General features: G+C 55.1%; 1 protein-coding gene across 37 annotated transcripts in view; it reads left to right on the plus strand.

The window, feature by feature from the left end:
• D2HGDH (D-2-hydroxyglutarate dehydrogenase) overlaps positions 1-16,378 on the plus strand; it is a 34,182-nt gene that overhangs the window by 9,360 nt on the left and 8,444 nt on the right. For 3 of the 37 annotated variants that reach the window (NM_152783.5, NM_001352824.2, NM_001287249.2), the window contains 4 exons: positions 720-888; positions 6,162-6,305; positions 7,257-7,399; positions 11,860-12,025. In NM_152783.5, the coding sequence (NP_689996.4) occupies positions 720-888; positions 6,162-6,305; positions 7,257-7,399; positions 11,860-12,025 (622 nt within the window). The other 34 variants (XM_047445694.1, XM_011511743.3, XM_047445696.1 and 31 more) reach the window with 34 other exon arrangements.

Below are 16,378 nucleotides of genomic sequence, written 5' to 3' on the forward strand. Positions count from 1 at the left end.
CCTGGCCCTGCCCTGTCCTCCCACGAGAGGGTGATTTTGTGTCCACTGCCTCGGGGCCACACAGAGAGGATGCAGTTACAGGGGACACCGCCCCGGCAGTGGTGGGCTTCTGGGAGCCGGGTGTGAAGGAAGGCTCATCCAGGGTCAGCTTCGTGACCTTCTGCTGCCCACTGTTCCTCCAGGGCCCCTCTGTTTACCCGCACCCTCACCAGCCGAGTGTCACAGGCAGAGCTCTCTGTCCTGTTTACCCAAGTGGACGAAGCAAACACAAAACCATGCTTTGGTGCCATCCAGTAAATTATGACGCTTCAGTAGCTTTTTTTTCTGGCCAGCCACTGATTATCTTTATTGTAAATTACTTTTTTGCACTCATGAGCTGTGTAGGCCTCCGACTCACAGTACCAGCACACAGGACTCGGAGAGGCCCACAGCTCGGGAGCTTTGATGCCTTATGGCTGGTGGGTCCAGAGGTGGCTGGGTCCTGGGCTGGGCTCACGCCCTACTCCCAGGGAGCCTCCCCACTGCCCCCGACCCCGGGCGTGCCCCCTGGGCAGTGAGCTGCTGTGTGTGGAGGGTGTCACTCGTACAGGAGGAAAGTCCATCCTTCAGCCTCTTGGCATGACCTCAGGCTGCTGCAGAAGTGACACCTGGCCCCGGAGGCGACCGACGTCTTGTCAGGAGGCTGGCAGGTGGGTGAACGTGCTTCTCTTTGCCCCAAGGTGCTGGCCGACGGCACTGTCCTGGACTGCCTGACCTCCCTGAGGAAGGACAACACGGGCTATGACCTGAAGCAGCTGTTCATCGGGTCGGAGGGCACTTTGGGGATCATCACCACGGTGTCCATCTTGTGTCCACCCAAGCCCAGGGCTGTGAACGTGGCTTTCCTCGGTGGGCTTCCTCGATGTGTGCCTTGAGATGGGTGGTTGGGCTCGAGCGTCTGCTCTGATGGTGCCACTGTTGGTGTGAGGAAGGGGATGGAGGGACCCCCCGCCAAGGACAGTCGGTTCCCGTGTCTCCTGACATCTCTGCTTCCAAAGGAATCAGGAATCCAGGACCTGGCCTTCCTGGTGGTCATGGGTAAAGGTGTAGAGTGAGGCCTCTCTCTGTCTCTGGTCAGAGGACACTTCATTTCATAAGAAAACAGGCTTGTGTTGCCTCATTCACCCCATCGTGTTGGTTGAGTAGCTTGTGGAGTAAGGTTGAGGGACATGCTGTCATTTGGCATCAGTTCAGGACACCACTCTTAGTTACTGTGGGGATAAAGAATTCCCTCCTGTAATGGGGGGCTTCCCCAGTCAGCCCAGACTGGGGGTCTCAGCAGACCTGCCTGCTGCTGTGTCTCCACAGGCCTGCTTCACTCACAGCCACTTCTTCGGTTCTCCTGGGACCTGCCTGCGGCTCCTTTCTTGCTTCATTTGAATCGGGCGGGTTTATCCAGCATTTCCTCCTCAGGAGTTCAGAAGTCGCACAGCCCGGCAGTCTTCGCGCGGGAGGTGGCGGGTCTAGCTCACCAACTCCCAGTTCGGTGTCTTGAGCTGCCAGAAGCTTGGGCAGCCCTGGAGGATGCTGAGACTCCGCATGCTTGTTCCTTCAGCCACTTACATCTTCTTGTTGTGATGTGTGTTCCGTATTTTAAGCAATCTCACCAGGATTATTATTTTATGGCCACTTTCTCTGCCCTCCACTCTCTTGTGTCCGATCTTCTGTCTGGGATTATGTTGCAAACATATCCTCGTTCATTTCCTGCAGTAAAGGTCTCCTGGTGACCACTTCTTCACTTCTGGCGTGTCTGAAAATACCTTTATTTCATCCTCATTCTTGAAGGCTCTTTTCCACAGGCGCATGGCTTCAGGCTGTTGTTTGTTTTCTTTTATCCCGGTGGAAACGCTGACCCGCTGTCCTCTGGCCTCCTCGCTGTTGGGAACTTTGCTGTCGGTAGCTGCTGCTGTGAAGGGATTCTGCCTCTCTCCTGGCCCCCCTTGGGCCACTTAAAGATCATTCTTTCTGATCTTCTAAAGTTTTCAGTGTGTGGTGTGTGTGTGTACGTTCTTTTTCATCTCCTTGGAATTACTGAATTTCTTAAACCTGTGGCTTGGTATCTTTTACCAGTTCTAGAAATTCTTAGCCATTATTGCTTCAGATATTGTCTGTGTTTTCCTCTCCTTTTGGGACTGTGATTCAGGATAGAATGTCTCAGTCCGTCTTCTGTGTCTCTTAATCTCCCCTCCATATTGTCATCATCGTGTCTCTCTGTGCTGCATTCTGTGTGATTTCTTCTCATCTGTCTTCCAGTTCACGAATGCCCTCTTCTGCTGTGTTTTATTTGCTGCTGAACCCCTCCATGAGTGGTTCCCTCCGTCCATTGAGTTTTACATTTTGATTATGAAAGTTTTTATTTCTAAAAGTTTTGTTATTTTTGTCAAATCTGCAATGTTACTTTTTATAGTTTTCTATTCTAGGTATTCTCAAGCTCACCATTTGTGTCTTTAAACATAGTTTGACGTCTATAATCCCAGCACTTTGGGAGGCCAAGGCGGGTGGGTCATTTGAGGTCAGGAGTTTGAGACCAGTCTGGCCAACATGATGAAACCCTGTCTCTACTAAAAGTACAAAAATTAGGCTGGGCACAGTAGTTCACACCTGTAATCCCAGCACTTTGGGAGGCTGAGGCAGGTGGATCACGAGGTCAGGAGTTTGAGACCAGCCTGGTCAACAAGGTGAAACCCCATCTCTACTAAAAATACAAAAATTAGCCGGGCATGGTGGTGGACGCCTGTAATCCCAGCTACTTGGGAGGCTGAGGCAGGAGAATTGCTTCAGACCATAAGGCAGAGGTTACAGTGGGCTGAGATCATGCCACTGCACTCCAGCCTGGGTGACAGAGCAAGACTCCATCTCAAAAAAAAAAAAAAAAACTTTGAATAATTTTTTGTGATGTTTTATAATCAGGCAATTCCATTTTTTCAAGTCTGTGTAGTCTGTGAAAGTTTTTTTTAGAGACAAGGTCTCACTCTGTTGCCCAAGCTGAAGTGCAGTGGTGTGATCATAGCCCCTGGGTTCAAGCCATCCTCTTGAGTAGCTGGGATTACAGGTGCACACCACCATGCCTAGGTAATTAAAAAAAATTTTGTATGTAGAAACAGGGTCTCATGTAACTCCTGGGCTAAACGATCCTCCCACTGTGGCCTCCTAAAGTGCGGGGGTTATAGGTGTGAGCCTGAGCCGCTGCACCCAGCCTGTGTGGTCTGTTTTTAGTGTCTGTTGTTTCTGCTGGTTCATGCTCCTGGCTCCTTAGTTTCTTGTGTGCTTGGCTGTCTGTGGCAGTGTGCAGCTCATTATGTTTGAAGAATTATTTGTAGGGGTTCCTAGATGCCAAAGACGAGGTACCTTCCTCCAGAGAGGGTTTGCTTTTGCTTTTGCTTTTGCTAGGTGTCTTTGGGTCTGTTCAGCCTGAGAGTGACCAAGTTCACAGGATGAAATTCTGTGAAACTCCCAGGTAGCAAGTCAGTGTAGGGCTGTGTCGGGCTGATCCATGGTCATGATTTATCAGGAGAGTGTTTTTTTTTTTTTTTACATTATTCTTCTGTATTTTTTTGAGAGACAAGGTCTCACTCTGTCATCCAGGCTGGAGTGCAGTGGTGCAATCGTGGCTCACTGCAGCCTTGAACTCCTGCACTGAAGGGATCCTCCTGCCTCCCTAGTAGCTGGGACCAGGTGTGTACCACCATACCTGGCTACATTTTTAAAATTGTTTTATAGAGACAGGGTCTCCCATGATGCCCAGGCTGGTCTTGAACTCCTGAGCTCAAACAATTCTCCTGCCTTGGCCTCCCAAAGTGCTGGGGCTACAGGCATGAGCACCTGCGTCGGGCTCCATTCTGCTTTTTTCTCATTCTGTTCAGCCATTTCCCCTGCAGTCTTCGGGGCAAGTTGGTTGGGACAGGCTTGCTTCTGGCCCTGACTTCTAAGATGTGGCCCTGTGGGGGTCTCCTGGATTCCTCACTCTGGGTAGGCTGGGAAGCTTGAGGCCAAACCTGCTAGCGGGGCAAGGGCTGTCGGCCAACAGCGTTGACTTGGTGCTACTCAGCCCCCAGGTCAGGCTCTTCCCTCGCTCTTGATGCTCTTCAGCGTTTTTTTGTTTTTGTTTTTGAGACAGAGTCTCACTCTTGTCACCAAGGCTGGAGTGCAGTGGCACAATCTTGGCTCACTGAAACCTCCGCCTCCTGGTTCAAGCGATTCTCCTGCCTCAGCCTCCCAAGTAGCTGGGATTACAGGCGCCCACCATCACGCCCAGCTAATTTTTGTATTTTTAGTAGAGACAGGGTTTTGCCATGTTGGCCAGGCTGGTCTGTGACTCCTGACCTCAAGTGATCTGCCCGCCTCGGCCTCCCAAAGTGCTGGGATTACAGGTGTGAGCCACTGTGCCCGGCCTCTTCAGCGGTTTCTTTGGTGTTTTTTGGCCCAGCGTTTGTGGTGTTTTCACTGGGCACTGGGTCACGTGGCCTAGCCCATTGCTGCTGGGTGGAGGCCCCTTCTCCTGGATCTGCCCCAATCAGGCCTTGCCCGCTTCACTGGTGCCCCTCCCACCATGGCTGCCACTGTCCTCCCACAGCCAACCCAGCCATCAGTTCTCATTGCCCCTCTCGCCCATTGCCTCCGGCACAAGCCTGGCCTGTGATGCTGCCCCCACACCGCCTCCTCCCCGCCCTCCACCTTCAGCCCCTGGTGGGGCTCCTCACCACCTGACCCCGGAACGGCTGGGGCAGCCTTGACTGCTTCTGCCGACTTACTCTCTGGGCGGCAGTGCCATCTGGATCGGTGGTTCCTCTTCATCCAGGTTTTCTGTGTTCTGCTCTGATCCCACTCCAACTGCAGTCACCTGTGTGCCGCCCGCCTGTGGTCCTGGGAGCCCGAGGCCAGCCCGGCTGCCGCATCCTGCTCTTCGCACTCCAGGTCTCAGACAGGAGTCACTCGCCTCTTCGTGCCACGCCCACGTCTAAGCCGGGTGGAACAGGCCCTGTGAGGATGGTCCTGGTGTCCCTCGTGCTCGTGGGCTCGGTCCAGCTCTCCAGGGCCCCAGTCAGCCCTGGCTCCTGCTCTCCTGCAGCTGGGGCGACTTCCGACGAGGCACTCTTGTCCCACTTCCTGGGGATTCCTGCCCACTCTGAGCAAGATGCCCAGTCCCCACCGCCAGACCCTCCAACACCACCACCACCTCCCACACCCCAGCCCTCTACGCGTCTGCAGCCACACCCCGACATGGTGCTCGGGTCACAGGCCTTGAGGTGCTCCTGTGTCACCCAGTGCAGGTGTCTGCCCCCAGCCTCTGCGCCTGTGAGACCTTCTCTCTGGAAAATTCTTCTCTGATATCCACATGCCTTTGCATTGCCTCCCTGTCTCGCCCTGAAAGGTGGGCACGGGCCCCCTCCTGCTGCAGCGTCTCTGGGGCTGCCCGCCTGCAGACATCTCCACTCAGTTCCTTTCCATCTTTGCACTTGAGGGTCGGCTTCCCCAGGGCAGCGGCCTCACTGGTAGCCCCCACCAACCCTGGAGCACTAACACGCCTGTTGGATGAGGTCCTGAGTGCAGGGAAGACCTGAGTGCTGATTGTGTTAAGAGAAATGCAGCCATTCCCAAAGGCTGCCTGTTGCTGGCTCTGTGTTTGCAGAATTCCCAAGATACGCCCCCTCTGAGTCCCACTGCCGTCTCAGGTGCTGTGTGGTTCTTCGGCGCCTTCCCCTCCTGATTTGATGCTGGTGGTGACACCAGGCGTGCACCTGTCCCTCCTGATCTGATGCTGGTGACACCAGGCGTGCACCTGCCCCTCCTGGCATCTGATGCTGGTGGTGACACCAGGCGTGCCCTGCCCCTCCTGATCTGATGCTGGTGGTGACACCAGGCGTGCACCTTCTCCTGATCTGATGCTGGTGGTGACACTAGGTGTGCACCTACCCCTCCTGATCTGATGCTGGTGGTAACACCAGGCGTGCACCTGCCAGGCAAACCCTGGGCTGTTTGTTGCAGTGCCAGTCCTCGTGCTCCTCGTGGCTGCCCAGCTCACCCACCCACATGAGTCGGGCTGATGTTGCTGCTTTGAAGGGGGACTTGGGTGGGCTGGGTTTAGCTCCGTGTGGTGCTTGACATGCTGTGACCCGTTTCAGGCTGCCCAGGCTTTGCTGAGGTTCTGCAGACCTTCAGCACCTGCAAGGGGATGCTGGGTGAGATCCTGTCTGCATTCGAGTTCATGGATGCTGTGTGCATGCAGCTGGTCGGGCGCCATCTCCACCTGGCCAGCCCGGTGCAAGGTACTGACCCCCCACACAGGGGGCAGCTGGTCCTGCAGCTCCTTCTGCACGTCTGGACACATGGGACGGCTCAGAGACCCCGGGTGGGCGGGGGGTGCCCGGGCGGGCGGGTGGGGGGTCCCTGGGCGGAGCATGGAGTGGCCGTTGGGCTCATGTGTAAGAAAGCTGCTCTTAACATATTTAGGACAAAGAACAGGCTGCCCTGGTCCTGTGTAAGGTTTGTAGTTACACAGATTTCCTGATCTTCTGCAGGAAGGACGGGAAGGAACTAAGTGGCTATTTTTGGTGAGCTGGGAGACTTTCTTTCCATTTCTTCTTTTCTTTGTTTTCCCATGTTGCTTTCTGTAAGCACGTTTTTCTTTTATGCTGGGAAAAAAGCCAATAATTTTTTGTTGTTGGGGGATGGAGTTTCGCACTGTGGCCCAGGCTGGAGTGCAATGTCACGATCTTGGCTCACTGCAGCCTCCACCTCCCGGATTCAAACCATTCTCCTGCCTCAGCAGCCTCCACCTCCCGGGTTCAAACGATTCTTCTGCCTCAGCAGCTTCCACCTCCCGGGTTCAAACAATTCTCCTGCCTCAGCCTCCTGAGTAGCTGGGATTACGGGCACCTGCCACCACACTCAGCTAATTTTTGTATTTTTAGTACAGACAGGGTTTTGCCGTGTTGTCCAGGCTGGTCTCGAACTCGTGACCTCAGGTGATCCACCCACCTCAGCCTCCCAAAGTGCTGGGATTACAGGTGTGAGCCACTGTGCCCGGCCAAAGACGACTTTTTAAACCTTCTGAAAGTCAGCTTAACCAGAGAGCTGTGTGCTCCGCAGGCTGCCTGGGTCCTTCTTGGCCACGAAAGATCAGTGGTTGCTATTACAGCTGTTCTGCCCGAGCAGCCCTGATTCTTGCCCTGGCAGCCGGAGCCTCTGCTCACTCTGCCTTCCTTGCTCACTTCTAGAGAGTCCGTTTTACGTCCTCATCGAGACTTCAGGCTCCAACGCAGGCCATGACGCTGAGAAGCTGGGCCACTTCCTGGAGCACGCGCTGGGCTCCGGCCTGGTGACCGATGGGACCATGGCCACCGACCAGAGGAAAGTCAAGGTGCCCTGTGTCCTGCTTGCAGGTCCCCGCTCTCTGTCCGTCCAGTCCAGCCTTGTCTTGGGATGCCTGGAACGGTCATTGGTGCAGCCTAGACAGTGTGGGATGTGGCTGAAATGTGACTGGGTTTCATGGCTTTGAGAGAGTAGCCTCTTTGGATGGAAAATGTATTCCTGGTGTCTAGGCCATTTTCATTAATATTTAAAAAGTACTTCCTCCCCACCATGACCCTCCCCAACCCCATGCTGTGGGATGAGCAAGGGGACTGCCCCATTGCTGGTCCCCTGCAGCCTGTGGTTAAGCGGCCAGTCAGCGGCAGCTCCGCATAGAGTCGTGTGGAAGGAGTGGAGGCAGGAGGAGCCCCTGGGGCTGTGGAGGCTTAGCCTGGACCTCGGGAGTCCTAGGATGGGCAGTTTTCCTTCCCTAGGAGGAAGGGGCGTTGACTGTGTGACCAGATGATTTGGCCTTTTGAGGCCAAAGGAAGGAGGGGCAAGGCCTGGGCAGGGGGAGCCCTCGGTCACCGTCACCGGGGCCTGGGCAGGGGGAGCCCTCGGTCACCGTCACCGGGGCCTGGGCAGGGGGAGCCCTCGGTCACCGTCACCGGGGCCTGGATAGTGGGAGCCATTGGTCACTGTTACCGGGACCTGGGTGGGAGGAGCCCTCAGTTACCTTCACCGGGGCCTGGGCAGTGGGAGGCGCCCTTGGTCACCGTCACCAGGGCCTGAGCAGTGGGCGCAGGACTTTACTCCCGCTTAGTTGATTTCAGGCTCGTGTTAGCCTGGGTGTTGCCCTTGCCATCTTCCCCCCTCACCTTTGCCGCCTGACTGTCATGATTCCAGTGCTTCTGGGCAAAACGGTGTCTGCTCCCAAGGGCTGGGGTGCGGTCGGCTGGGCTCACTTGTGTGTCCTGATGCCCAGCCCAGGGGCGTCCTCTGGGCGAATGGCAGCTGTGTGGTGCCATCTCTGTTGACTGAGGCATGATCAAGTGTGCGTCCTTCCTAGGTCTCTGCCTGCCATTCCTGCATTTTTCTAAGTGGACTGTGACAGTCAGCTCCCTTACATTCTGCCGCAGTAACAAGCAATCCCCAGGCCCCAGGGACCACACGAACAGAGGCTCACCCTCCCTCGCGTTCCGTGTGGGTGATCGCTGTGGCTGCATGTGCTCCTGTGGCTTCCAGTCCAGGGGCCCGGGCTGAGGCAGCTGCCCAGCCAGTCAGTCTGTTTTCCCAGCAGAAAGAGCAGGACAGCCGCCGGGGATTCTCTCAGCTTCTGCTTGAGATGGGGCGGGAACGTGAGCCCAACTGCCCTTGGTGGTGCGGGTGGGGACCCTCATCCCGCACTGGCTGCTTTGCTGGAGTGGCAGTCAGTCATGCAGCCCCCACACCACCCCCAGGAGGGCGACCCTGGCACCCCAGCCTCCACACATCAGCCCCCATGCCCCCACAAAGGAAGGCTGCCCCCAACACCCCCAACCTCTCTACCAGCCCCCATGCCACCCCCAGGGCGGGCCGTCCTCCATGCCCCCAGCCTCTGCACATCATCCCCCACGCCACCCCCAGGGCGGACTGTCCCCAACGCCCCCAGCCTCTGCACATCAGTCCCCAGCCCCTCCACAGCCTGGTCCAGTCCTAGACCTGTGCCTTGAACATTAATGCCCAGAGCCGGGTTCATGACCAGGACAGGGCCGAATGGGGCTGGTTCTGTGTTCACAAAGTCACCTCCAGACGCTTCCTGGGACGGGTTCAGGAGACGCCTTGTGTGTCTGTCACCTCGTTCTGGCTCATGCTCGACGGGTAGGTAATCTGGCCTTTGTTTTCTGCAGATAGCAAAACGACCCTTTCTTAGGTGTGCGGCTCGATGAGTTGACCCGGATATGCGGTTGTGTGCAGTTGCTCTGAGGCTTTTCTGTGCTGTTGTCCGGTGTTGGCGAGGCTCTGGGCAGGTCCTGAGGCTTTTCTCTGCTGTTGTCCGGTGTTGGCGAGGCTCTGGGCAGGTCTGGGCAGGTCCTGAGGCTTTTCTCTGCTGTTGTCCAGCATTGGCGAGGCTCTGGGCAGGTCCTGAGGCTTTTCTCTGCTGTTGTCCGGTGTTGGCGAGGCTCTGGGCAGGTCCTGAGCCATTCTGCTTTCCACTCTGTGGTCTTTCCCTTCTGGGAGCCCTGGGTTTTTGGACATGTTGAGACAATGGGGCTTGCGCAGGTCCAGCCGCTGCCGCGGGGGCCCTGTGTTCAACGGGGGACACTCAGCCCTGCCCAGGCCCCGCTGTAGCCTCAGCCCACCCGAGTGGAAGCCACACTGGTCGCACCAGATGCCCCGGGCTCCTCTGAGTAGTGACCACGGCGGGTCTCATTGGCACTGCCTATCCACCCGTCACGTGTCATTCAGTTAGCAAACCTGCTAGGGAGATGCCTCCTGTGCCCTGTGCCTGCCGGGCGACAGCAGTGACCAGGGCGGGAGAAGCCTTGCCCCATAAACTCACGCAGCAGAAGGAACAAGCTCAGCCCATGGCCCCTCAGAGCCAGGAAGCGCCGGGGAGGAGGGCAGGGCCAGGCAGGGTCATGGGGTGTGCCGGGGAGTGCCGGGAGGGCCGGAAAGATGACCCTGAGGGGTCATTTCAGCAAAGACGGGGTGTGGGGAGCAGAACGTCTGGTGCAGGAGCACCAAGACCCTGAGGGGCGCGTGCCTGCCATGTTCTAGAACCTTCCAGAGATGGTGGGTGTGGAGCTGAGTGACTGAGGCGTGAGCAGACAAGGGTAGAGCCCATCTTGTGGCCACGGGGACACATGGGGCGGCCGGTCTGATGAGGAGGTAAGAAGGCCTCACAGGCAGCCGATGCCCGCCAGACCATGGAGGCGAAAGCCGGCCTCGCAGCCGTGCCCGTGCGGCTGTGACGAAGGGACCGTAGGAGGGGCTCTTGCTCAGGGCAGGGCGTGACCCAAGGGTCTGATCTGACCGAACTAGCTCTAGAAGTTTGTAAAAGGGGCCGGGCACGGTGGCTCATGCTGTAATCCCAGAGCTTTGGGAGGCTGAAGCAGGAGGATCACTTGAGCCCAGGAGTTTGAGACGAGCCTGGGCAACATCGGGAGACTTCAAAAAAACAAAAAATTGATGGTGGGGAAATGCGGGAATTTTGGGCGCCGGCCGGATTCCCAGTGGTGGCGAGGAGGTGGTATTTTTTTAAGTGTCAGTGTGGCATTGTGGTTGCCTCAATAAAACAGAGTCTTTTTTTGTCTTTTTTTTTTGAGACAGGGTCTCGCTCTCACCCAGGCTGGAGTGCAGTGACACAGTTGCAGCTCACTGCAGCCTCGACCTCCTGGGCTCAAGCAATCCTCCCGCCTCAGCCTCCCGAGTAGCTGAGTCTACAGGTGCCCACCACCAAACCCAGCTGATTTTTATTGTTTTTAAGAGACGGGGTCTCCCTGTGTGGCTCAGGCTGGTCTGAAACTCCTGGGCTCAAGTGATCCTCCTGCCTCAGCCTCCCAAAGCTCTGGGAATACAGGCGTGAGCCACTGCGCCCGGCCAAGTGTTTCTCTTAGAATTTCCTGAAATGATAGGGTCTCTGGAGGGGCAGGTGCTGGGCTTGAGCCCTGGGTAGGACCCTGCAGGGGAGAGGTGGTCCTGCAGCCCACAGAGGATGGCTCTGTCCTGTTCCTCATGGTGCAGATCTCCACAATGGAAGTTCGAAGCAAGCAAAAGCCACGCAAACCACAGGCCGATCTGTCTGAGCCCTAGGATTTGGCCCGGTTCTGCTTCAGCCACCAGCACCGTCTGCTCCTCCTCAGAATCCTTCCTCCCCCGTGGCCCGCCCGCCGTGTCCCTCCTCCTCCACGGCCCGCCCACCGTGTCCTTCCCTCCCCCGTGGCCCACCCACCATGTCCTTCCCTCCCCTGTGGCCCACCCGCCATGTCCCTGCCTCCCACCCGACATGCCCCTTGAGCTGCCTGGGCCCTGCTGTTGTCCCCACTGCCTGTGTGACTCTGCGCCCCCTTCCCTACCCTGCCCCACCCTGGTTCAGGGAGCGTCCAGGCCCATTCTCATCCTCAGGGCCTTCCCTGGCCCTTGCCACTCTGTGCCGTGTCATGACCTGAAGCTGCAGGTGGGCGCCTCCCCCTTCCGTCATGGCTGTCCCCCTTCTGTGAGGTGTCCCAGCCGCCTGATTGCCGGAGTCCCAGGGTGCTCGGTGCTGTCGTGGAGCCTGGGACATTCACTGTCTGGGATTGATTCCAGGGTTGGAGCCACACCTGGTCTGGGGCATTCGCTGTCCTGGGTCAGAGCCCCTCCTGGTCTGGGACATTCGCTGTCTGGGGTTGGAGCCACACCTGGTCTGGGGCATTTGCTGTCCGGGGTCGGAGCCTCACCTGGTGAAGATACAGAACATGCTGCTGCCCTAACCCCGTGTGGTGTGCCCCCTGTCCCCGGGTGTCGTTCCCATAGCCAGCCCTTGTCTCATCTCGTCTCATCCTCTAGATGCTGTGGGCCCTGAGGGAAAGGATCACAGAGGCGCTGAGCCGGGATGGCTACGTGTACAAGTACGACCTCTCCCTCCCTGTGGAGCGGCTCTACGACATCGTGACTGACCTGCGCGCCCGCCTCGGCCCGCACGCCAAGCACGTGGTGGGCTATGGCCACCTTGGTGAGCGGCGCCCCGGGGCCGCGGCCCTGTGTGTGCTGGGTGGTGGGCCCCACGGTCACCGTCACCCTGCCAGGCTTCGAGGCAGGGCAGTTTGACCATGGTCTCTGGCTTAGCATATCTCCCGTAGACACTGGCAGGACCACGGTGTCTGACAGGGAAGGGAAAATCCTAATCGTTGTCATGACTCGTTTTGAGTATTTTGGAAAAGACTGCCATCGTGCACTTGTAATGGCAGAGCGCATGGCTCAGCTTGTCAGAACGTTCTGGGATCTTCAGTGGCATGCAGGGTTGGAGGGCATCAGCCTTAACCCCGGAGTCCGGGATGCGGGTCTCAGGGGCTCCTCTCACAGGGCCCGGCCCCGAGGCCTTTGCAGTGCTTAGCCCCCAGCTGCTCTACCCCTTCAGATGGGAGGATTTCAAAACCACGTTCAGATCATCTTTTTTCTGCAGAAAAATCATGCTTTAACGTGTAAGCTATTAATTCATAGGAAGAAAATGTTTCAATCCTATCAGTTCTTTTTTTTGAGACGCAGTTTCACTCTTGTCACCCAGGCTGGAGTGCAGTGGCGCAATCTCGGCTCACTGCAACCTCCATCTTCTGGGTTCAAGCAATTCTCCTGCCCCAGCCTCCCGAGTCTCTGGGATTACAGGCGTCCACCACCAGGCCTGGCTAATTTTTGTATTTTTAGTAGAGACAGGGTTTTGCCATGTTGGCCAGGCTGGTCTTGAACTCCTGACCTCTGGTGATCTGCCCACTTCGGCCTCTCAAAGTGCTGGGATTACAGGAGTGAGCCACCGTGCCCAGCTGTTTTCCTGTCAGTTCTTTGGAGCCTTGGAGCGAGGTGTCTAAAAGGCCAGCTTATAGGGCAGGGGTGGGGGCAGTGCTGGGGGTGTGGAGCATGGCTTTGGGGCCTGACAGATATTCACTCTGGCTTCTTCCCTGGCCTGGTGGCACTGGAGTCACTGACCTGAAGCCTCCATCCATCTGCCAGTAAATGGGATTCAGGTGCCACCTCTGTGGTTACAGGAGGGTCTAGGGTTGTGTACGTGACGACAATAACACGTATTACTTACGAAGGTCCCGTGCTGTCCCAGGCATTATTCTAAGCACTTGATGTGGAGAAACTTCTCTGCACAACAGCTTTTAGGACTGGTGGTGTTGCTTCCCTTTTACACACATGTAAACAGGTTCAGAGAATTTAAGTAACTTGCCCAAAGTTGCCCAGCCTGTGGAGGGGTACATCTGGAGGATTTGACATAGGATGGATGGTAATCTTCTGTGATAGGAAGGCAGGACTCCTGAATGGGAAGGGGGTAAGGGCATGATGAGTGTGTCATCATCCAGAGAAGAGGGGTACGGGAGCCCCAGTATTTCAGAATATGGGAAGGGGGTAAGGGCATGATGAGTGTGTCATCATCCAGAGAAGAGGGGTACGGGAGCCCCAATATTTCAGAATATGGGAAGGGGTTAAGGGCATGATGAGTGTGTCATCATCCAGAGAAGAGGGGTACGGGATCCCCAATATTTCAGAATATGACCTCAAGCCAGGAGGAGGCTTCCTCCTCTCCAGGTAACTTCAGTCTCTCTTGGCCACAGATAAAGCAGACCATCTTGGTGAGAAATGGAATGAGCCCTCTGTTACTTTGTAAAAGCAAGAATGGGCCAGGCGCAGTGGTTCATGCCTGTAATCCCAGCACTTTGGGAGGCTGAGGCGGGTGGATCACCTGAGGTCAGGAGTTCGACACCAGCCCGGCCAACATGATGAAACCTCGCCTCTACTAAAAATACAAAAAATTAACTGGGCATGGTGGCAGGCACCTGTAATCCCAGCTACTCGGGAGGCTGAAGCAGGAGAATCACTTGAACCCAGGAGGCGGAGGTTGCAGTGAGCAGAGGTTGCACCATTGCACTCCAGCCTGGGTGACAAGAGTGAAACTCCATCTCAAAAAAAAAAAAAAAAGCAAGAATGAATGTTGAATTTTTAAAATGTGTTTCCTGCATCTGTCATGGTGACCGGGTGCTTGTCTGCCTGTAATCAGTGTGGTAAGTTACACTGATTGATCCCTCTGGAGTCAGATGAGTCTGTGTTTCTGGGGTAGGCCCAAGGTGGCCATGATCCTTTCTGTATCTTGCTGGATGAGTTTGTTTATGTTTGGTGTGGGATTTTGACAGGGGTCTTGGTGGATGATTCTGTTCCACGCTGTTCCTTTCTTCTGTCCATGCTGGATTTTGGTATCAAAATCATAACATGAATATTATGCAGAACTTGCCAGTGGAGCTGTTTGGGCCTGGAGGTTTTTTTGAGGGAGTATTTTAAAATTATAGCTCAGCTTCTTCAATAGCTTTAGGACTTTCAAGCTTTCCTTTCTTCTAGATTGGTATTGCTAATTTTTTCCCATATTGGCATAAAGTTGTTCGAATATTCTTTTGTTGTCTTTTTATGTAGCATTTGTGGGATGCCCCCACACCCTTTTTTTTGGTGGGGACAGGGTCTCGCTGTCACCCAGGCTGGAGTGCAGTGGCTCACCACAGCCTCGACCTTCTGGGATCAAGCAGGCCCGCCACCTCACACACACCAGCAGGCCTGGCTAACTAAAAAAAAATTTTTTTGTAGGCCCGGTGCAGTGGTTCACGCCTATAATCTCAGTACTTCAGGAAGCCAAGGCTGGAAGGATCACTGGAGTCCAGTAGTTCTAGACCAGCCTGGGCAACACAGTGACATCTGATCTATACCGCCCCCCGCCCCACAATATATGTGTGTGTGTGTGTGTGTGTGTGTGTGTGTGTGTGTGTGTGTAGAGCCAGACTCATGTAGAGCCAGTTGTGTGGCCGGACCGGTCTTGAACTCCGGGGCCTCAAGCAAATGCTCCCTCCTTGGCCTCTCAAAGCCAGAGATTACAGGCGTGAGGTACTGTGCCTGGCATTATTTGCTGCTTGCATTATCATTCCTTCTTTGACCGATGAGTTATGCAGAAGTGTGTTTCTTAATTTCCAAACGTGGTGGTTTTCTAGTTATTTTAAAAATTATTGATTTCTTTTTTATTGCATTATACCCAGGAAACTTCGTCCTTATCAGATCAGATTTTTGAAACTTGATCAGTGGCAGCTTATGATCAGCCTTCGTAACTGTGGAGTGCTTGAAAAGAATGTGCTCTCTGCAGTTGCTGGAATCAGTGTTTGTACAGATCCATCAGATAGAAGTATACGTCGCGTGTTCATTCTACATCCTGCTGACCTGCCACTCCCTGAGGGAGGTGTTAGAAATCTGCTGACAACAGACTAATCTGTTCCTCCTGTAGCTTTGCCAGTTCTGGAGACGTGTTCTTAGGGGCATAGGACATGAGGTTCGTCTCTTTGTTTTGGGAAACTGAATCTCCTAACGCGATGGACTCGCTCTTTATCTCCAGCATTGCCCGCTGCCTTGGTGTCTGCTTTGTTTATTACACAGTGATGCTAACTTTCTTTTATTTAGTGTTTGCCTGATGTGTTGTTTTTCCTCCGGTTAGCTTCAGCTTTTCCATCCTTAGTGATTTAGATGTGTTTCTTGTGGACGCCCCCGGACAGGTTTCTTGCGTACTTGTTTGCCGTCTTGAATGAGAGCGTTTGGCTGCTGAGCACGTGCTGTGGCCCACTGTTTGGATTTGTCTACTTCACCCTGCTCTTTGTCTCTCACTTCTTGTCTATTTTTTCCTCTGTTTTTTGCTCTTCTGGTTTATGTTCTTTGTCATTTAGCTTTTTGCCGTTTACTAACTGTTGGTGGTCGCCCTGGCACCACAGTGGACATTTCTAGCCCTCTGGGTTTGAGGTTAATCAGAGTCACTATCTTCCTCCCAAATAATGTGTGATGGTGAATTCTCTGCGTCCACTTGTCTGGGCCCTGGTACCCTCGTTTGGTCAAACTCCAGTTTGGATGTTTCTGTGAAGATATTTTTTATGTGTGATTAACATTTAAATCAGTAGACGTTGAGTACAGGAGATCTCCCACCACAGTGTGGGTGGGCCTTACCCAATCAGTCGAAGGACTTCGCCACAGCGTGGGTGGGCCTTACCCAGTCGAAGGCCTTCGCCACAGCATGGGTGGGCCTTACCCAATCAGTCGAAGGACTTCGCCACAGCGTGGGTGGGCCTTACCCAATCAGTCGAAGGCCTTTGCTACAGTGTGGGTGGGCCTTACCCAATCAGTCGAAGGACTTCGCCACAGCGTGGGTGGGCCTTACCCAATCAGTCGAAGGCCTTTGCTACAGTGTGGGTGGGCCTTACCCAATCAGTCGAAGGACTTCGCCACAGCGTGGGTGGGCCTTACCCAATCAGTCGAAGGCCTTTGCTACAGTGTGGGTGGGCCTTACCCAATC

This window comes from Homo sapiens, chromosome 2 (assembly GCF_000001405.40).
Source record: "Homo sapiens chromosome 2, GRCh38.p14 Primary Assembly".
Classification (NCBI taxonomy): Eukaryota; Metazoa; Chordata; class Mammalia; order Primates; family Hominidae; genus Homo; species Homo sapiens.